We start from the raw sequence: 23672 nt of genomic DNA on the forward strand, positions 1-23672 counted from the left end.
TTATTTTATTTATTTATTTATTTATTTATTTATTTATTTTGCCGAGTGCTGCCAATTCTTTGAAAATATGAAGCTGGATGTGGTGGGAAGAACAAGCGTTTTGGCACAAAAAGATGATTAATTGGATAAACTATAAATGGAAAATGTGGGTGGGCGCTGCAATTTAGAGGCTTGGGGTCTACTACCTGGTGAAAGGATTAACATGGGAAGCTAGTTACGTTTTTGTTTCTTGAGTATCTTCTGTAATTATGGAACTAAAGCCTATCTGGAAGAGACACAGCTGGTGTATATGTATGGTCCACCATTCTCTTTATTATGTGAGTTCAGTTTTAATTTATGCATTTCATCTAGTATGACATAAACGTTTCCACGCTGCTTCCTCACAATTTTAACATTTAATGGTGAGATAAAATTCCATCCATTATTGATGCCTCAGCCAAAGTAATTGTCCCTCTGCTGCACAATGCAAAGTTTTTAAGTTTTACTATGAAAATAATATTGTAAAGAGTATCTTTTGTGTGTTTGGCTTTTTAAATCTGTTGAATTATTTTGTTTGTATAATTTTCCTGAACTAGGAATTTGGGGTCAAAATATTCCAAAACATTTTAATAACTATAAATGATGTTGCTTTCCAAAATGAACAAGCTTACAGCACTATCAGAATACACAACACCAAACCATACCATTTTTTTTCCTTTAAATTCTTTGGTATGAAATGTTACCCCTAGGTAACTATACTTATAATTCTTTGGTTACTATCAAGATCTGATGTCTTTCTTGTGTTTCTAAACTATCTCTGTGTCCTCTGATGTAAATTCTTTGTTTATATATTTATGTTTTGCATATGAATTTGAATAATATATTTATAAATAAGTAACATTAGCCTTTGCCATATTTTATGCTATTGCTTTTCCCATTCTCTTGTCTCTCTTTTCCTTTTATTTGTTTCTTTTGCTATTGCACTTTGTGAGAGGTTTCATGCTATTTAGTCAAATTTAGGTTTTCCGTTACGTGAATCCTAGAAAGTAAATACACTGCCAGAATATCTTCCATGTATTCATTAATTCAACAGATATCTATTGGATGCTGATGATTATGAAACAAAGTAGCAAAGATAAGAAGCCATTTGCTCATTCTGCTCCTTTGCCAGCAATATTTCACAAAGCCCCTGACTCATTGACTGTGAGCAGCCTTGTGGAAGAATGCCTTGAAGACCATAAGCAGGATAGGGAATAGGTTTGCACATCTCTTGCCTGAATCACTGAATTTTTACAAAAGGTAAGTTTGGTGATCCTAGCCCTTGCCTCTTCCTGTACATAAGATAATGTCTGACAAGATTAATGATTATGCCTCAAATTCATGACCAGATGTAACTTCATACCCACACTTTGATGAGACTTTACTTGTATTAACCCATTTTCATACTGCTATGAAGAAATACCCAAGACTGCATAATTTCTAAAGAAAAAGGCTTAGTGGACTCACAGTTCCACATGGCTGGGGAAGCCTCACAATCATGGTAGAAGATGAAGAAGGAGCAAAGGCACATCTTACATGGCAGCAGGTGAGAGAGCATGTGCAGAGGAACTACCCTTTATAAAACCATCAGAGGCCAGGTGCAGTGGCTCACACCTGTAATCCTAGCACTTTGGGAGGCCGAGGCAGGCAGATCATCTGAGGTCAGGCATTCAAGACCAGCCTGGCCAACATGGCAAAACCCCATGTTTCAAAATTAGCTCAGTGTGGGGGCACATGCCTGTAATACCAGCTACTAGGGAGGCTGAGGCAGGAGAATCGCTTGAACCTGGGAGGCAGAGGTTGCAGTGAGCCAAGATCACGCTACTGTACTCCAGCCTGGGCAACAGAGCCAGACTTTGTCTCAAAAAATAAAATGAAATAAAATAAAAATAAATAAATAGATAGATAAATAAAACCATCAGAGCTCGTGAGAACTCACTACCATGACAACATGAGGGTAACTGATCCCATAATTAAATTACTTCCCATCAGGTCCCTCCCTTGACACTTGGGGATTATGGGAGCTACAATTCAAGATGAGATTTGGGTTGGGACACAGCCAAACCATATCATTCCACCCTGGCCCCTCCAAAATCTCCTGTCCTCACATTTCAAAAGCAATCATGCCTTACCAGCAGTCCCCCAAAGTCTTAACTCATTTCAGCATTAACTCAAAAGTCTACAGTCCAAAGTCTCATCTGAGACAAGGCAAGTCCCTTCTGCCTATGAGCTTGTAAAATCATAAGCAAGTTAAGTTACTTCCTAAATACAATGGGGGTACAAGCATTGGGTAAATACACCCATTCCAAATGGGAGAAATAGGCCAAAATGAAGGGACTACAGGGCCCATGCAAGTCCAAAATCCAGCAGGGCAGTCAAATCTTAAAGCTCCAAAATGATCTGCTTTGACTCCGTGTCTCACATCCAGTTCACGTTGATACAAGAGGTAGGTTGCCATGGTCTTGGGCAGCTCTGCCCCTGTGGCTTTGCAAGATACAGCCTCCTTCCCAGCTGCTTTAACAGGCTGGCATTGAGTGTCTCTGGCTTTCCCAGGCATATGCTGCAAGCTGTTGGTGGATCTACCATCCTGGGGTCTGGAGGATGGTGGCCCTCTTCTCACAGCTCCACTAGGCACTGCCCCAGTGGGGACTCTGTGTGGGGGATCCCACCCCACATTTCCCTTCTGCATTGCCCTTCTGCCTTAGCAGAGGTCGTGCATGAGGGCCCTGCCCCTGCAGCACACCTCTGCCTGAACATCCGGGTGTTTCCATACATCCTCTGAAATCTAGGCAGGGTTCCCAAACCTCAATTCTTGACTTCCGTGCACCCACAGTCCCAATATCACATGTGAGCAGCCTGAGACTGCACAAAGCAGCAAGGCCCTGGGCCCAGCCCATAAACCCATTTTTCCTCCTTGGCCTCCTGGCTTGTGATGAGAGGGACTTCCAGGAAGACCTCTTACATGCCCTGGAGACATTTTTCCCATTGTCGTGGTAATTAACATGTGGCTTCTTGTTACTTATGCAAATTTCTGCAGCAGGCTTGAATTTCTCCGCAAAAAATGGGTTTTTCTTTTCTATCACGTCATCAGGCTGCAAGTTTTCCTTTTATGCTCTGCTTCCTCTTGAACGCTTTGCCACTTAGAAATTTCTTCCCTCAGGTACCCTAAATCATCTCTCTAAAGTTCAAAGTTCCACAGATAACTAGGGCAGGGGCAAAATGCCACCAGTCTCTTTGCTAAAGCATAGCAAGAGTGACCTTTATTCCATTTCCCAACAAGTTCCTCATCTCCATCTGAGACCACCTCAGCCTGGACTTCTTTGTCCGTATCCCTATTAGCCTTCTGATCAAAGCCATTCAACAAGTCTCTAGGAAGTTCCAAACTTTCCTACATCTTTCTGTCTTCTGAGCCCTCCAAGTCTCTAGGAAGTTCCAGAGTTTCCCACATTTTCCTGTCTTCTTCTGAGCCCTCCAAACTGTTCCAACCTCTGCCTGTTACCCTGTTCCAAAGTTGCTTCAACATTTTCTGTTAACCTTATAGCAGAGCCCCACTACCTCAGTTCCAATTTACTGTATTAGTCCATTTTCATACTACTGTGAAGAAATAGCCAAGACTGGGTAATTTATAAAGAAAAAGAGGTTCAGTGGACTCACAGTTCCACATGGCTGGGGAGGCCTCACAATCGTGACAGAAGGCAAAGGAGGAGCAAAGACACATCTTACCTGGCAGCAAGGCAAGAGAGAGAGCATGTGCGGAGGAACTGCCCTTTATGAAACCATCAGATTTCCTGAGATTTATTCACTATCATGAGACCAGCAGGGGAAAAACTTGCCCCCATGATTAAATTACTTCCCACCGGGTCCTACCATTGACACATGGGGATTATGGGAGCTACAATTCAAGATGAGATTTGAGTGGGGACACAGCCAAACCATGTCATTAATGTAATTTCTGAGCACATTTGATGTAACTTCTTAACACATGCAGAGCAACCACCACCTATGTTTAAGCTATGGGGTGAATCAATGCTTTGCAGCAATATAACAAACTCTTTGAAAGATTCTCCCAGGTTGCAGTACTCAGTAGGACTTCTGAATAAAATTAACTTTAATTATTTAAAAGCCTGTTTTTTTTTCTTTAGTTGACATAACATACCAGGATATTGTAGCTGGAAATACATAGGAGGTTCTTGCTCTCACGAACCTTACATTCCAGTAAGGAAAACAGACAATAAGAAAAAAGAAAAATGAATACAATAAATTCTCATGGTGATACAAATAAGGTAAGATGACAGAAACTGAAGGGAGAGGGAGACACTACTTCAGTGAGGTGGTCAGTGAAAACCTCTCTGCAAAGGTGGTGTGAAATCTGAGACCTGAATGACAAGAAAGAACTAGCGATGCAAACATCTGCGGGTGGCACATTTCTAATATTTATTTTTTACTAGTTTTATTTTGTGTTAATTTTACGTTTAACTATCTGGAATATATTTTGGTACAGGAGTCCCCCTTATCCAAGGGGGATATGTATCAAGCCCCCCAGTGGATACCTGAAATCACAGATAGCGCTGAACCCTATATGTACTGTTTTTTCCTACATATATGTATCTATGATAAAGTTTAATTTATAAATTAGGCATAGTAAGATATTTACAAAAATAATAATAAAATTGAACAGTTATAACAATATACTGTATAAATCTTATGTGAATGTGATCTCTCTCTCTCTCAAAATCTGCCATACTTACCTATTGCCAGACCACAGTTGACCATGGCTAACTGAAATCATGGAAAGCAAAACCACAAATAGGGAGGGCTACTGTATGTTCTATAAGATAATATGTGAATTGTCTATTGCTACATAACAAACCACCCAAAACTTTGTGATGTGTCCAAGCCCAAGGATGCAAGGTTTCCAAGCTTCCAGATCCCAAGGATACCAGGAAACAGGATTCCCAGGAGGCCATTGCTATAATGATCTACCACTATTTTTACCAAAACTGGTATTTGTATTAGGCTGTTCTCCCATTGCTGTAAAGAAATACCTGAGACTGGCTAATTTGTAAAGAAAAGAGGTTCCATAGGCTGTACAGGAAGCATGATGCTAGCATCTTCTCAGCTTCTGGGGAAGCCTCAGGAAACTTACAATCATGGTGGAGGGCAAAGTGGGAGTCAGTACGTCACATGGCCAGAGCAGTGAGAGAGGAGGGAGGTGATACACACTTTTTAAATGGCCAGATGTCAGGAGAACTCACTATCCTGAGGACAGTACCAAGGGAGATGCTGCTAAACCATTCATGAGTAATCCACTCATCCACCACCACGATCCAATCACCTCCCACAAGGCCCCACCTCCAATATTGGGGATCACAACCCCACATGAGATTTGGGTGGGGACACAGATTCTGTATCAGTGTTGTTATTCAAAAAATTTTGTACATAGTCCTTACCTTTCCCATTTCCTTGTGATATTCCTTTATGAAATTGTTAGAAGAAATAGAATATTTCAGCTGGGTGCAGCCGGTAATCCCAGCACTTTGGGAGGCTGAAGCGGGTGGACCATATGAGACCAGGAGTTCTGAGATCAGCCTGGCCAACATGGCGAAACCCCATCTCTACTAAAAATACAAAAATTAGCTGGGCGTGGTGGTACATGCCTAAAATACCAGCTACTTGGGAGGCTGAGGCACGAGAATTGTTTGAACCTGGGAGACAGAGGTTGCAGTGAGCCAAGATCGCACCACCGCACTCCAACCTGGGCAACAGAGCGAAACTGTCTCAAAAAAAAGAAAAAGGCGGTATTTCTAGGTATTCTGTTCCTTCTACACAACTATTTTGAGGCCAGTGCCATGTTAATTATTGTTGCTTTTAATATGTCCTAATATTTAACCATTAGGGCTAACCATTTTGCTATTTCATTTTTCACAAAATTATTGATTTCACCTGAAAATTTTCTAACCAAATTTTACACAAATTTGTTCAAGTTAAAAGAAATGCTACTTGGATTTTTAGTGGGATTATACAAAATCTATTAATAAGTTTAATAGAAACTGACATCTTTATATTTACTCTTCTCATCTGAGAACATGGAGATCTATTTATTTGAGAGATTTTAAAAAATTATTTTTGGCCAGGCACAGTGGCTCACGCCTGTAATCCCAGCACTTTGGGAGGCTGAGGTGGGCAGATTGCCTGAAGTCAGGAGTTCGAGACCAGACTGGCCAACATGGTGAAACCCCATCTCTACTAAAAATACAAAAAATTAGCTGGGCGTGGTGGTGTGCACCTGTAGTCCCAGCTACTCAGGATGCTGAGGCAGGAGAATTGCTTGAATCCGGGAGGCGGAGGCTGCAGTAAGCCAAGATTGCGCCACTGCACTCCAGCCTGGCGACAGAATGAGACTCCATCTCAAAAAAAAAATTATTTTCAGTAAAACTTTAAGCCACAGATATCGATGATTAAACTATTTCCTAAGTATTTTTAACATTCGTTAAAACACTTAATGTATTTTTTTATTTGGTAGGAAATATATAAAAATTATTATATATGTGTGTAATATCTGTAATATTCATTATATATTCAAATCAGTTATTGCCAATATACAGATCATATTTCATGTCCAACTGTTCTTTCATTATTTTAATAAGAATTATTTTAATAATGAAAATTATTTAAAAACTTTTGTTCAACAGACTGGACTTTTCTAGTTCTACAATGTCTGTCAATTATCTTTTTGTCCCTTTATAGTATTCTTTCTCGATTTCTTTTTCACAGCTTGTTATGGCTCAATATTTATAAAGTTGATAGCAAGTAGCTTTTTTTATTTTGTTTTTGTTTTAAAATTAAGGTTTTAGCAGCTTTTCATTAAGTTTATCATTAGTTATTGGATTAGAATACTCATTATCATGCTAAAGAAGTAGATTTGTATTCCTCTTTATTTGTTTGTTTGTTTGTTTCATTAAACTGCTGATTTTCAAGTGCAGGATAGAGGCAGCTTCCTACCTAAATGAAGGACATGAGCAGTTGTAAACACGATTCAATATTGGAAATAATAATTCCTTTTATCTGTGAGTATATGAGATAGCATTGTTTATAATTTGTATGGTTAGAATTGTTAACCATAGTCTGCGTTTAAACTAGAACTCAATTTAGTTATTCATTAATTTATTATTGAGATATTCATTAAGTGAGTTAATACAATTTGGCAACTAAAACCAAATATGAGTATTTGATTGATCAAAATTACACACACACACACACACACACACACACACACACGCATATATATTTCTGGCTTCTCTAATAAAAGTTTTTATAACTGACCCTCACAGTAAGTCATGCCACAAAGCCTATCCATGCTGTTTTTACTGTTGTTCTTCAATCGAATGACAACTTAAGATTGACCCTACAGAATCTAAGATCACAATTAGATCACTCTTTATTTTATTCTTGCCCCCTCCTCTTACCTATATCCCTTCCATATCTTCTTTTTAATTCTCTTTTTCCCTCTGCTTCCTTATGCACCAGGAACACAATTGTGTTACTCATTCACTCAATGAATATTTATTAAGCACTATGTACCAGGTATTGTGCTAGGCACCAGCAATACAGGAGAGAGCAAAAATTGAACAAGTTCCTGGCCTTACAGAGCTCACACACAGTCCAGGGGAGCCAGACGTTAATAATAGAAGCATTTATAGAAATGTAAAATTCTAATAGGAGACCATTTAAGAAAAATCAGAGTAAGTTTCTCTGAGGAAATGGACTGAGCTGAAATTAATGAGTTAATGAGGTAGATACGGAGAAGAAGGAAGAGCTTTCAAGGCAGAGGAAACAGCCCTTCCAAAGACGTGTGGCATAACAGAGCTTGGCTTATTAGAGGAACTTACAGAATTACACTGGTCTTGCAGTTCAGAAAACAAAGGGGAGAGTGCTAAATTGCTAAGGGGAGAGGCTGAATTGCTAAGCAGGTACCACCTCTCTCCATGGACTTGTGGGTCAGGTTAGATTTTGGTCTGTATCCTAAGGGCAAAAGAAAGCATCACAGTGGGAAAGATTATGTTGCTTCCAATGAGGAGAACTGGGAAATGCTTTAGGTACAGCATTTAAAAGGCCACTGCCACAGTCCAGGCAATGGTAGCTTAGACCAGAGTGTTAAGAGTGGAGATGAAAAGTGGAGGGAACCAATAGGGATTTTAGAATTACAACTCAAAGAACATGATGATGGATTATATTTGGGAAGTAAGAGAGAGGACAATTTCAAGGACGACTTTTAAATATCTGGCTTGTACAACTGAATGCATGGCAGTGCCATTTTTTAAAGCATAGGAACCACAGGAAGTGGAGCAGGTTTAGGATTTATATACAAGTGAAGTCTGGTTTAAATATTTATCCAGAGCTATTTGAAAGGAAAATTTACATAAACCTATTATAAATACTTTTGTGACTGCTAAATAAATGTTGTTACAAAATAAAATAAGTGGAAAAGATACATTTAATCAGGATAAGAATATAGACCCTGAGAGAGATTTTACAATATATTTAATACTATATATTGCTATAGGCAATTCTGTTTGCTACAAAAATCTGTGCCAAAACTATTTTATGGAAGCATTTCATATCTAACAGTCAAAATGTTTTTGGGGGCCGGACATGGTGGCACACACCTATAATCCCAGCACTTTGGAAGGACAAAGCGGGTGGATCACTTGAGGTCAGGAGTTCAAGACCAGCCCGGCCAACATGATGAAACCCCATCTCTACTAAAAATACAAAACTTAGCCAGGCATGGTCGTGGGTGCCTGTAATCCCAGCTACTCGGTAGGCTGAGGCACAAGAATCGCTTGAACCTGGGAGGCAGAAGCTGCAGTGAGCCAAAATCGTGCCACTGCAATCCAGCCTAGGTGACAGAGCAAAACGCCATCTCAAAAAAAAATGGTTTTCAGAGCAAGGTAAAATTCAGTAAAAGGAAAGTATATATGTAATAAAATACAAGTAGAAAAAAGTAAGTAAAGCCAAAGGGCTTTCATTCTAGTGTATTTATACCATTTCCTTGTATTTATATGTATTTCCTATCATGATCTTGATATTGCACCACCTTAAATTCCTTTTCAGTTTGGCCTGAAATACTTTTCTTCCCTCCTTCCAGTGAGCCATTTAACAATAGTTTGTTATTCTGCTATAATCCATTTCCATCTCATGACCTTCTCATTAACTTCAGACTAAGCCATAATAACAGTGCTTCAATACAAGAATAGAGCAACTGCCCTTCAAAGTCTCATTTTTTGAAATCCTGTGCTATTATAAAATGCCATAATGACCTGAACATAAAGCCATGTCAAATGCTTTAGCAATGTAAAACTTGCTGTCTCATTAAGAGTATAGTCCTCCATTGTTAAACAAGAAACCACCAGCTCTGTTGGCATAAAGCCAATCAATAGAGAGTTTAGTTCTACATGAGGCTGAGAATTTTCTACAAGTGCAATTAATTTTATTCAGTTGATTTTTATTCAGTTGTACATTGATTTTATTCGTTAAGCATCTTGTGACACTCTGAAATCCCAGGGACATTTAGTAGATATTTTAATCATACCACATATTGTAAAGTATGGGACATCCTGAAAGATCTCTCTTAGGAAGATATTAGAATAATGGAAAGGGTAGGGAGGAATGTGTGTGTTTTATAGAAAATTGCTAGAAATGTACCATGGTAGGCAAAATAGTGGCTCCCTGAAGATGTCTATGTCCTAATCCCTAGAACTTGTGAATATGTTACCTTATATGGCAAAAGGGACTTTGCAAATGTATTAAAGTAAGGATATTGGGATAAGGAGATAATAATGACTTATCTGGATAGGCCCAATGTAATCACAGGGGTTCTTTTAAGAGGAGGGCAAGGGGGTCAGAGAAGAGAAAGAGATGTGAAGACCAAACCAGTGGTCACAGTGATGAAGGGCCACCAGCAAAGGCATGTCTGTTGCTTCTAGAGGCTGGAAAAGACAAAGAAACTAATTTTTCCCTAGAGTCTACAGAAGGAACACAGCTCTACCAATCCAATTTGGACTTCAGACCTTCAGAGGTGCCAGGTAATACATTTGCTTTATTTTAAGCCACTAAATTTGTGGTTACTTATTATGGTAGCAATAGGAAACTAATACAGGTACCTCAACTGTTAGCCGTGGTTACTCCCTAGAGGTTTGGAAATGAAGATCAGAGTTGAAGAGGACTTTTATTCTCCATTGTTCATGTTATTTGAACTGTTATCATGGATTTATGTTGGTTTTATTATGGATCTATATTGCTTCTTAAATAAAAATAATTAAGAGCAGAAGTAGCTAATATTAAGTGAAAAGATAGTGTAGAAAATTGTATAAAGGGTAATTGTTCAACCATGAAAAAATAGAAAAAAAATAAGAAGGAAACTTACTAAAATGTTATCCAGTTGTTTTTCCTGAGTATTAAGAGTGTGCATGTTCTATTTTCATTTATCCTCTGAGTCACTCAAGTTATTCATTAAGCATCTACTCTGTGTTAAAGAATGTGCTAGGAACTGAGAATGCAGTGGGGAATAAGAGAGACACAATTTCTGCCCTCATGGAACAAGGCAGATTAAACAGATGATCAGACAAATTATTAATTAATTATATTGTAATAAGTTCAATATAGGCAAGATACAGACTGAAATCACCATGCACTAGGGCAACATAACGTAGTCAGGGAATGCTTTCCTAAGGAATTTCAGCTTGGAATTAAATGAGAATTTTCCAGTCAGAGACAGGAAATAAAATTTTTTACAAAGAGGACATACCCCCTTTTTATCAGGAGAAAAATGAACATTTTAAATTTTTTTTAAAAAGAAATAGTTAACATTTCTCTATCCTTTTATATCTGGTAACAGCAGCTGCTCAGTGCTGGAAATGGTCTGCTTTTTCTGCTTGATTTAGCCAAATTCAGTTTAATGATCAGACTTTTTTTTCTCTTGTTCAAGCACTTCAGGCAAATGAAATATTTAAGTGAATAAATTGAGGCCACTAGACAAAAAAGTAAAATAATAATGGTTAAATATCTTCCGTATCCAGAGCTCACATTATTAAACTATTAGATCTAATACTTTTTGGTTGTCAATCTATCAAAAAAAGCTTGTGATAGGCCCTTAATATTGATTGACCTTGACAGAAATAAGACCCGGTGTCTTTGCCAGTTGAAGTTCTGTTTTTATCCAACCAAAACTAAGAAACACAAATGAAGAAGCAAAGAACAAGAATTATTTTGAAATCGACATAAAATGTATCACTAATCGAATTTTTCTCAAAAGAATTTCATAGATGAAATCTGTATCACTGGGTACTAAAAATTAAGAATTTCAAATTTCTCAACTTTAGAATCTTCTCTTATAATTTCCAGATGAGTAGTAATTTTCCAGATGATGGTTTGGGATTACTTTCAGCACAAGAGCAGGGAGAATAACATCTCTGTAATGAATAGGCACTAATGATTTCATAGTTAATGATTAACATCTCTGGAAAAAAAAACAAAATAAAAATAGAGAGCCTATTAATAAATGTCATGCCACCAAAAATCACTACGTGAAATTACGTTAAATTTTTTTTGTTAAAAATTTTATTTACTTGATCCTTTTTGTTTGTTGTTTGCTTGCTTTCCAGTATACTTATGTGTCTGTAACACTTAGAGCAGTAATGTCCTTTAATGAAAATCAGAATAAATATGACTATGTTTAACAAAAAATGTATCATAATGTAGAATTGACTTACAATGACAATGATGTAATGAGAAGTTATGTACTGTATATGACAGAGATTACTAGGTAAATTGCAAATAGAAGATACTATAAACATATCATTGAGAATGTCATGAAAATGGAATGTTTGAAGTTCAGATATTCTTTCTACAAATGCAATAAAATATTTAGAATTTTTAGTTGGTTGAATAGTGTTCCCCCCAAGTTCATGTACTCCCAGAACCTCAGAATGTGAGCAAATTTAGTAATAGAGTCTTTGCAAATATAATCAAGGTAAGGATTAATATAAGATCATACTGAATTATAGTGGTCCCTAAATCCAATATCTGGTGTCCTTAATAAGAGGAGGAAAGGACACAGACATAAACAGGAAAAAAAAAAAGGCCATGTAAAGATGGAGGAAAATATTACAGTGATGCAACTACAACCAGAATGCCAAGGATTGCCAGAAGCCACAAGAAGCAGGAAAGAAGCAAATAAGGATATCTTCCCTAGAGTCTTCAGAGAGCCCATAGACCTGAAAACACCTTGATTTCAAACTTGTAGCCTCCAGAACTGTGGGACAATTAATTTCTGTTGTTTTAAGCAATCTAGTTTGCAATAATTTATATTGTAACACTAGGAAACTAATACAGGATTTAATATAGATAGCCATTTTCATAATCAAGTATTTTTTAGAATTATGTTATCTGCACTCATTCTTCCTCTTTAACCTCTTTTATGGTAGAAAGGGAGATGGACAAAGAGAACAATTTGTTTTGTGATGTTTGTAACAGTTGTATTTGTTCAACAAAAATTTGAGCACTGAATCAGTTAGGATGATTTTGCCCATGAGTAACAGAACCCCTACTAAAAGTGACTTAAGATATAAGGTTATTTAATAAACTGACAAGACTAGCAGTCCACTGAAAGCTTGTTTCAAAGTAGGTGTGCAAACGCAATGACTTCTTCAATAGCCCTCCTGCTCTGCCACCTCAGTATATTGGCTTTGGGATTCTGATTTGTTTCTCATGGTAGCAGAATGTCTGCTGAAGCTCCAAATATTATATGCTTGTCTTTTATCAAGGAACACATTCTTAGTAGCCTCCTAGAAGACAGCTTCTAATATTTGATTGTCCAGGGTTTGGTCACATGCCCATTTCCAGACCAATCACTGACAAACAGTACAGGATTGCTAGAATTAGTCAAGATCAATCACTGTTTGTCCAAGAGGGCTGGTGATGTTGCTTCAGAAAAGGAGTTTGGGTTCTTTGAGCAAGGAAGAAAGAATTGCCAGGTTAAAAGATAGGCATATTTAATTTGAATAGGTGGAGCCAGATTGCTTTCTAAAAGCAAATCTCCATCTAAACTCCCACCAGAAGAGCATGAGGATTCCTATATCCCCACACTTGGCATTTCTCTTTTTTGTTTTTTTCCCATTCTAATAGGGGAAAAGTGATAGTTCAGATACGCATTTATCTGATTACTAATACTTTTGAACATGTTTTCATATGCTTGTTAACCTTTCAGATTTCCTCTTTTGTTAATTACCTGTTCATACTGTTTACCCATTTTTAAGTTGTGTTTTCTATCCCTTTTTTGGTCTATTTGCAGTGATTCCTCACATAGTCCAGATATTTAATCTTTTGTTGGCTTTATATATTTCAGATAAGTTCTCCCCACTCTGTCCTGGTCTTTCAACTTTTTCTTTTCTTTTCTTTTCTTTTTTGGTTTCTTTTTGAGACAGAGTTTCACTCTTGTTGCCCAGGCTGGAGTGCAATGGCACGATCTCAGCTCACTGCAACCTCCGCCTCCCGGGTTCAAGCGATTCTCCTGCCTCAGCCTCCCGAGTAGCTGGGATTATAGGCATGTGCCACCACACCCGGCTAATTGCTGTACTTTTAGTAGAGACAGGGTTTCTCCATGTTGGTCAGGCTGGTCTTGAATGCCCGACCTCAGGTGATCCACCCACCTCGGCCTCCCAAAGTGCTGGGATTACAGGCGTGAGCCATGGAGCCCAGCCCTCAACTTTTTCTATGTTACCCTTCATTGACCAGAAATCCTTAATTTAATAAAATTGAAGTATGCATACCTCATGGAGTTATCGTTAACTTTAAATATGAAGATGTACCTAAACCTCTTGGCCATAGTCGTAAGTACAAAGTAAGAACTCAATGAATAAATCTCAAATATTATTAATTGTTATGGTTGTTATTCATTTGACCCTACCAATTCCAAAAGGATTGCAACTCTCTTTTGTTCCCATAACGCCCTACATGTATTTCTATTGTGGCATCTATTATATTATCTCACATGGTGGACAGATTGAATTATTTCCAGCCAAAGACATCAAAGGTCTTATTCATTTTGTAATCTTGTATTCCCACGATCTAGGACAATGCTAAAAGGTGCTTAATAAATATTTGTTAAATAAATATACACACAAATGAGTTTTCAAAGAAATTCAATGAATAAAGAATACTAATTGAAGAGAGGAATAACTCTAGAAATCACAGAATAATTTTAGATTGAAACAATGAAATAGAAAATATTTCCAAAGACACATCTGGTGAAAGACTTATCTAAAATATACAAGGAACTTATAAAAGTCAGCAACAAGAAAACAACCTGATAAATAAGCAAAAGACCTGAACAGACACTTCACCAAAGAAGATCTACAGATGGTAAATAAGTATATGAAAAGATGTTCAACATCATATGTTATTAGAGAAATGCAAATTAAAAGAACAATGAGATACCACACATACCTATCAAAATGACCTAAACACTGAAATCCTAAACACTGAAAACATCAAATGCCAGCAAGAATGTGGAACAACAGGAACTCTCATTCATTGCTTGTAGGAATGCAAAATGCTACAGCCACTTTGGAAGAACATTTGGCTGTTTCTTACAAAATTAAACATAATCTTACCGTATAATCTAGCAATTGCACTTCTTGGTATTTAACCAATGAACTGAAAACTTAGGTCCACATGAAACCTGTACATAGATATTCATAGCAGCTTTATTCATAATTGCCAAAAGTTGGAAGCAACCAAGATGTCCTTCAAGGGATGAATGGCTAAATAAACTGTGGTACATTCAGACAACGGAATATTATTCAATACTAAAAATAAATGAACTGTTAAGCCATGAAAAGACATAGATGAAATTTAATGCATAATTACTAAGTGAAAGAAGCCAATCTAAAAAGGGTACACATTGTATGGTTCCAACTATATCGCATTCTGGGAAAGTCAAAACTATGGAGACAGTAAACAGGTCAGTGGTTTCCAGGAGTTGGATGGGAGAGAGAGATGAATAGGCAGAAGTCAGAGGATTTTTGAGGCAAGGAAAAAGTTCTGTATGATACTACAGTGGTGGATATATTTCATTATACATGTTTCAAAACCCAGAGAATGTATAACACCAAGAGTGGACCCTAATGTAGACTATGGACTTTGGGTTAAAATGATGTGTTAGTGTAATTTCATTTATTATAACAAATCTATGGCTGTGGTGAGGGATGTTGATAGTGGAAATGGTTGTGTGTGTGAGGCAGCATGGAGAATATGTTAATTCTGTACTTTTTGCTCAATTTTGCTGTGAACACTAAACTGCTAAAAAAAATTCTATTTAAAAATGAAAGACATCAATAAAAAGTACAGATCACGTGATTGTCACTAAAAATAGACAATTGGCAAGGACTAAATTAAGAGAATGAATCTTTTTTAAAAATGACATGGTATATGAGAAAAAAGCAATATGAGTCTATCAGAAAAGTGGGGATATTTAAAAAGATAACTGTAGAATATATAATTTTATTTTGACTAAGTGTTATTGTAACTCCTAACAAATATTTTTAACCATGTCTGCTAACAATTAACAAGATGGATAGATTTTAGTTGCAAATAAACCAAGCAATTATATGGAGCAGTCAGTCAGTGAGAAGGAGAAGAGTAGAAGGGCATGGGCCATCCGTGTGCATAATCATTACCTAGACCTTTAGTGTTGGCTATATAATAACACTTGACAGATTCATCAACTACTGAGAAATTGAGACTCACAAAATTTTTCATCAGCCTAAAACTTCTGCCCAATAAGGAACCTGAATTTACCCAAATGTTACTATTTGCTTGCAGAGTTACACTCACCATTTTATATAGTTTCCTTGAACATATATGAATGAGCAAATGGTCATCCTTCATGCTTAAGGAAGTAAGGGGTTTAAATTTTAGTTCGATAGATTTAGGTTAGACATCAAAAAGAAATTCATGACCATAATGATTTTTAAGGAGGTTGTGAGCTACCCTAATGGTTTTGGCCTCTTCAGTTGTCATCTAAAATTGTATTATTCTATGTGTATGTCTTAATCTTTCTATTTGTGCATTTGGTGTTCTTATTGTTTAAGGAGCATACCTAAAGTGTGGGGCCCCTTCTAAGGACCCCAAGACCAAGAGTCTTAACTAGAAGTGTTTTTCTCAATTTTCTATTTGTTGAATTTCTAAACTTGAACCTAACAATCTTACATATAATCACCATAAATTACTGTTTATGGAGGCCAGTGCTGAATACAGAATCACTAGAGCTCCTCATAGGTCTCTTGAGTCTGTTGTAGCATAGTGATTCAAGGGCAGCGACTAGAGTAAGGACTGCTTGGGTTTTGGTCTAAGCTGGACATTACTAGCTGTATCTCTTTGGGCAGGTTATATACTCTTTCTGAGCTTTGGTTTCCTCATATATGAAATGGTAGTAATAAAAATGCCTATGTTATGATTTGAATGTGTCCCTCAAAGTTCACGAGTTGGAAACTTGATTCCCAATGCAGCAATATTGAGAGTTCCATGCTAATGGTAGGCGTTTCGGTCATGGGAGCATCACCTTCATGAGTGGATTAATGCCATTATTGCAGGAGTGGGTACATTATTGCAAGAGTGTTCTCCTTATAAAAGGATGAGTTCAGCCACCTCTCGCTTTCTTTTTCTTGCACCCTTTCTTTGCTCTTCTGCCATGAATAATGCAACCAGAAGGCTTTCATCAGATGTCAGCCTCTCAATTTTGAACTTCCCAGCTTCCAGAACCATGAGCCAAATCATTGCTGTTCATTATAAATTACCCAGTCTGTGGCATTCTGTTACAGCAGCACAAAATGGACTAAGACAGCCTACTTCATAGAGTTATCTGAGATAATGCATATATACAAGCTAAAGACCTTAGCTCAGTGTCCAGTACATACTGAGCACTCAGTTAATACTAGTTATTGTATTAGTCCATTCTCACACTGCTATAAAGTTAACTGGCTAATTTATAAACAAAAGAGGTTTAATTGACTCATAGTTCTGCATGGCTGGGGAGGCCTCAGGAAACTTACAATCATGGCAGAAGGCAAAAGGGAAGCAAGGCAAGTCTTACATGGCAGCAGGAGAGAGACAGAGATCAGGGGAAACTGTCACTTTTAAACCATCAGATCTCATGAGAACTCCCTCACTATCATGAAAACAGCATGGAGAAAACCACCCCCATGATCCAATCACCTTCTACCACGTCCCTCCCTTGACACTTGGGGATTACACTTAGAGATAGATTTGGATGGTGACACAGAGCCAACCATATCAGTTATTATTTTCCTCTTCTGTCCCCCATTGCCAGCTCTCTTCACTGTCTCTAGCAAGTTTGCTATCTTGTTCTCTCCCTGCCCTACTAGAACACCACATTGCAAGTCTCTGGGGGCAAAAATTATTCTGGTAGTCTGACTTTTATCTGCATTGCAAAATTTACTTCCACTGCCTTCCTGAGTTTCAGTTTGATGATTAATAAAATCATTTCTTTTCAATGTTCTTGTTTATCCCAAAACATTGAGGAAATCTTTATAAAATTCATATTAGTATTTCTAATATTTATATCAATGGAAGTAGCAAAATAAATAGAGTTAAGTTATAATTCACATGGCCAGACATCTCTCTTTGTATTAGCGTATTCTGGCAAAAAAAAACCCATAAAATTTTCATAAAAACTAGATCTTTTATAGACTTTATAATTTTATCTGTCAGTTCTGATGAAAAAGCCTAATCTATTCATATGTGATTTCAAAAGCTTCCTTTCTAATAAGAAACAGATTGTTTTGAATAGAGAAGTACCCATCAGCGAAAGATACGTAGGGCTATAATGTCAGTTAATTTCTATAGCTGCAGTCTTATTGTTTAAAAAATACAAAAATTACTTTAGTTCTTAAGGGCATCATTAAGTATAGAGGTCTCCAAACAAATTTAATGCATTTTTACTCATTTTGTTTTGTGTCAGTACTACAAAATGAATATGAATGCTTTGTTTACATTTTTCGTTCTCTTTACAGTTGGAGCTTTTTATCATTTGAGATCAAAGTCAATTTTTTAAATAAATAAAATAATTTTTAATATCTCCATGTGGTACTCTTTTATTTTCTCCTCTTCTATAAAGGGATTTACAATTATTTATTCAAAAGAAGGTAATGAGGCAATTTTAAGCCAGACTTAATAATTCAAGGACATAATTTTAAAAAGTTATCTAAAACTGACTTTGGGCATCTTAGTAAAAACCCAAGTCATGCAAGATAAAGCACTTTCTGGCTAACTACTATGTGCCAGGCATCACAGTGAGCCCCAAGAATAAGAAACAGAACTGCAGTTCTTAGTTGCAAAGGCTCATTCTGCAGGAAGAGAGGCAGAGAGCAGCCTCTTGAATAAATAATTGTTCAACAAGGTTTTAGAGCCATAATAAAGCTATATCTGAAGTCCTACTGGAATTCAGATAAATTGTTCATTCTAGTTAATGTAGCTAACTTTTTTCTTTATTTCTATAATGGAGACTAACATTACCCCTATCACATAGGATTGTTAAAAAGGTTAAATGAAATAATAAATGTGAAGTGTTCATTACAGTGTCTGGCCTATGGTAAATTCTCAAGGAAAGCCAGTGTCATTTTTTTTTTTAGTATTGCTATAATTATTATTAGGAGTCAGGGAAGACTTTGCTGGGGAGGCAACATTAGAACTTATCAGGAAAGGAAAGAATAAGAAGGAGTAAGGGGCCTGTTTGGAAGAGGCAAGGGGCATTTCAGGCAGATGTACAGAATCAGAGAAAGGCATGTTGTGAGCTTTTGAGGAAGGATGAGCAACCCAAGTAACTGAAACAGAGAGCATGGGCTTGAGTAATAGGAAATGGTGCTCATCTGTGAAGAACCATGTACTCTGCCAGAGTGCTAAACTTCTTCTTGTGAATAGTCCACAGCTATCAATTCAAGCAGCCTGAAATGGTGGCATGAGCCTGTAATTCCAGATGCTCAGCAGGCTGAGTGGGGAGAATCTCTTGAGCCCAGAGTTTGAGACCAGCCTGGGCAACGTAGTGAGACCCTGTCTCAAAAAAAAAAATTAAGCATCAGGGTAACATGATCAAATGTATATTTTAGGAAGACAGCAATAAAGAGACTAGAAATAGACCATAATAATAGTTTATGTGAGAAAAGTAATGACTAACACATAATGCTCATTATGTGCCTATGTTAATTGTTTACCATATATTTATGTGCATTAATTCTTGTAACAGCTTTATAAAGAAGATGTTATTATTTTGTCGTTTTATATATGTACAACTGGGGTATACAGTTTTTATGTAATTTGCCTCAGGTTCCATGCCCAGTAGGTGTTGAAGCTAGGATTCAAACTCAAGTAGTCTTACTCTTGAATTTGCACACTTAATGAACATCCTTCACTGCTTCTCAAGTAAGTGTCAGGCTAGAGTGCTGGCAGGGTGGCCTGCACCCGTATACCAGCTGGTCAGGAGGGTTAGTCAGGAGGATTGCTTGAGCCTAAAGGTTTGAGGCTGCAGGGAGCTATGATGGAACCACTGCATCCAGCCTGAGCAACAGAGCGAGACTCTGACCCTAAAACAAATTTTTTTAAGCTACTTAAAAAAAAATAGGCTAAAGAAAAAAAGTACAAATCGGAAAGGGAAGTTGTATTCAACAGAATTGACTAGCTTGTTTTTTAATGCCATAAAGACTTACTGGGTTCCTATCACCTGGCAACAATGTTGCAGCCATAACAATGAAAAAACAATTTTTAAAAAGCACCTACAACAATACAACAATGAAAAAACCATCAAAAAGCAATGAAAAGGCCTGTTCTTATAAAGTCTGTTTGCCAGTGAAGGAGCAGACAATATGTGGGGCGGAGGCACATTGAAGGGAGGAAAAGTAAAATTTTACCTCTCTCCCCTTAGGGCTTTTTGGCTACGGCTGAGAATTAAATTGACATAAAAGAAACAAGTAGGAGAAAAGCATATGAATTTATTTAATACAAGTTTTATGTGGCACAGGGGGCTTCATAAGAAAGTAAAGACCCGAAGAGCCAATTAGAATCGAACACTTACATACTGAATTGGACAAAGAGTAGTAAATTATGAGACTGTAATTAGGCAAAGGGGCTTGGGCAAGGGTAGTTAACTGGGTAGAGAAGTGAGTAGGAAGATAAGGGTTAGTTTAACCAGGTTTGTTTGTAGAGAATTCTCCCCCCTCAACTTCCTATTACTGAAAATAAGAATAGAACTTTCTTTCTGGTACAGGAGGATTTTTCCATGTAGGGGTTTTATCTTCAACTTTCAGGAAGAAAAAGGGGAGGATTAGAGCGCCTTTCTTGCAGCCACTGTTGTTCTTTTTCTAAAGTGCCTTTATATCAAAATAATCCTTATGCCAAAGTGGTGTATTTGCAGATGGCATATTCTGCCATCCTTCATTTCCCTCCTTTGAACCTTCCCCAAGAAGTTTCATAGTTCAGAAGCTGAGTTGATAGATTGCAACCTTATCTTACTGAAAATCTCTTACTCCTGGAGAACAGGTCAGTTCCATTAAACAAACAGTTGTGTTTCATTTCAGGAGACAATGTTGCAGGTGGGTTCCTACCAAAGTTAGGCCTCCATATGGTCCGAGCAATCAGGCATTCCTATGGAAACAAACAAACAAACAAAAAAATCTGTTTATGAGTCCAGAGGGCAGCCAGTCAAGAAGATTTCTAGATATTGGGCTCGAAGCATCTTCTTTTGCTGTCTGAAAGTCTCTGGTGATGTCACCAGGTGATATGGGTGAACTTTCTGAGTAGTCCCCACAGCAACAGGCATGAAGCTTGTTTATATGTTTATATATGAGTTTTTGTGGTGATTTCTATGAAGTTTATATCAAGTCACCCAGCTTCGGCTTGCAAGGCTTTGGGAAAGGGGCAGTTTTATTTTTTGGTATTTCAAGTCAGAAAGGTGGGAGAAAATTGGAAATGTTAGTTTGGAGAGTCATAGCCAGATATTGGAGGAAACTAGAAGAATTCAGGATACAGTCCAGTTTACAGAAAGATAACAAAACCTCAAAGACAATGAACAAGGCTAGAATTGAATTACTATAGTTTTCTACAGTGCACATAATTTTTCTGTCTATAGTCACCCTCATGTTTCACAAACATAATCATAGTAAGACTAATTTGTTTGTAAAATAAGTCTAGTCTCATTAAATTTGGCCTGATTATTTAAATAAGCAAAGCAAGAATAGTGACTGGTCATATAGACACTTTTTAAATCTGCTTTGCTGGAACTTTTAATAAGGAATCTCTGATTAGACTTTTAAAAGCCTCTCCATTCCAGACTCAATGGTGCATGCCTATAGTCCCAGTTACTCAGGAGGCTGACGCAGGAGGATTGTTTGAGCCCAGGAGTTCAAGACTCGCCTGGGAAACATAGCAAGACCTCATCTCTAAAAAAAATACAATAAATATATATACATACATAGTTAAACATAGAATTAAAAAATAAAATAAAGGCTGGGCCCAGTGGCTCATGCCTGTAATCCTAGCACCTTGGGAAGCCAAGGCGGGTGGATCACCTGAGGTCGGGAGTTCAAGACCAGCCTGAGCAACATGGAGAAACCCCATCTCTACTAAAAATACAAAATTAGCTGGGCGTGGTGGCGCATGCCTGTAATCCCAGCTACTCGGGAGGCTGAGGCAGGAGAATCACTTGAACCTGGGAGGCAGAGGTTGCAGTGAGCTGAGATCACGCCATTGCACTCCAGCCTGGGCAAGAGGAGTGAAATTTCATCTAAAAATAAATAAATAAATAAAATAAAATAAAAATAAAAGCCTCTTCAAGCTATAAAGCTAAGCTAGGGACTTTGCATTAGACTTCACCTACCTATAGATTTAGGTGAATTCCTCATTTCTCAAGGCTCTCAAAATATTATCAGCCTCCTAGGCCTACCAGGAAGTGATGTTCCTTACTCACCTGTAAGGTTGGAATCCTTTGAAGCCAGGTACTAGTCTTTTTTTTTTTTTTTCTAAGTGGCTTTATTGGGTTCATAAAATCAACCTTAGTTCATTAAAGCTGTCTGGTTATATCTGATCCTATGCATATAATTCTCAAATATGACATTCTAGTCAAAGCCTTGGTAATATAATCAATGTTTCCAATTATATCATGTTACAAAGAAAATATATTCTTATTGATCTTATGTAAATAACTATATTGCCATGAAAATAATACTCAATAAGAGTTTCTGAATTTTGGAGGGATCAGGTAGGGAACAGATAAATGCTTCAAATCTGTTTCCAAAGTATACTTTACTAGATTGCTGCAAGCTATAACTAGCTTAAATAAAAACAGAAAAAGTGTTCTTCACATCTGGAAAACAAAATATTAAAGCATTAATATAATGGTTTAATAAAGTCATAAAAATAATAATCATCCTCATCAGTTTATTTACTCCCACTAATTACTTCTCGTTGTGCTTAATCCTGGGTTAGAAGTTTTATGAATCAATCAGTTTATCCACTTGATTTTTAGAAATTCTTATCAAGCTCAGTGGTATGATCTTATAGTTATCAGAAGCCTGCACTTGTCAGAGTCTTTTCTGTGAATCTCTTTAACGATAAAGCAGTTTTGTCTGTAGTTGATTTCAGGAAAACATCAGAGTAAAACAACTATCTGTGAATGACAAATGCTTTTAAATGGCCATGGTCAAAAATCTCATGAGAGATCATTACAATGCAATTGATAAGAAAATTTGGTTATTTCTGTGACATGCAACATTTTAAGATAATAACTAGGATTATGACTGATGACATTATACCAGGACATATCAGATTTCTAGAAATTTTATATAATTTCTTTAACACTTATATTAATAATATATATTCCTACAAATAACACATAACTCTAATTATTTTAATATCTCTCTTTCAGAAAGATAAAAAACAAATCTTTTGAGATTTTCCAGGGGCTCTCTGGAAAATCCCAAAGTTACTTTGAGGTCAAAAGCACTTTAGAATTTGATCCTGGGAGTTCAAATATTGTCAAAAATGTCAAAAGGTTTAAAACTCTTGATAAAATAGGATCACAGATCACTTTGAAACAATACTCAGTTATCTATTGTATTAGTCTGTCTGTGTTGCTACAGAGGAATACCTGAGACTGGGTAATTTATAAAGAAAAGAGGTTTATTTTAGCTCGTGGTTCTTCAGCCTGTGCAGGAAGCATAGTGCTGGCATCTCCTTCTGGTGAGGGCCTCAGGAAGCTTGCAATCATGGCAGAAAGTGAAAGGGGAGCCAACATATTACATCATAAGAGAGGGAGCAAGAGAGTTGGTGAGGAGGGGGGCAGGCTTTTTAAAGAACTAGCTCTTGCATGAACTCATTACCGCTCACTACCACAGGGAGGGAACCAAGCCATTTATGAGGAATCTGCCCCCATGACCCAACACCTCTGGCTAGACTCCACCTCCAACATCAGGGGTCACTTTTCTTTCTTTCTTTCTCTTTCTTTCTTCCTCTTTTTTTCTTTCTTTTCTTCTCTTTTCCTTCCTTTCTTTCTTTATCTTTCTTTCTTTCCTTCTTTCTTTTTTCTG

General features: G+C 37.2%; 1 long non-coding RNA gene across 3 annotated transcripts in view; it reads left to right on the forward strand.

Moving 5' to 3' along the window:
- The window catches only part of LOC105378808 (uncharacterized), a 32591-nt gene that overhangs the window by 196 nt on the left and 8723 nt on the right, over positions 1-23672 (forward strand). For 2 of the 3 annotated variants that reach the window (XR_007066176.1, XR_007066177.1), the window contains exon 2: positions 1073-13954. This is a non-coding gene — a long non-coding RNA (uncharacterized LOC105378808). Of the gene's footprint in view, positions 1-1072; positions 13955-23672 lie in introns of those variants that run through there. The other variant, XR_001738109.2, reaches the window with a different exon arrangement.

Source organism: Homo sapiens, chromosome 1, assembly GCF_000001405.40.
Source record: "Homo sapiens chromosome 1, GRCh38.p14 Primary Assembly".
Taxonomy (NCBI): Eukaryota; Metazoa; Chordata; class Mammalia; order Primates; family Hominidae; genus Homo; species Homo sapiens.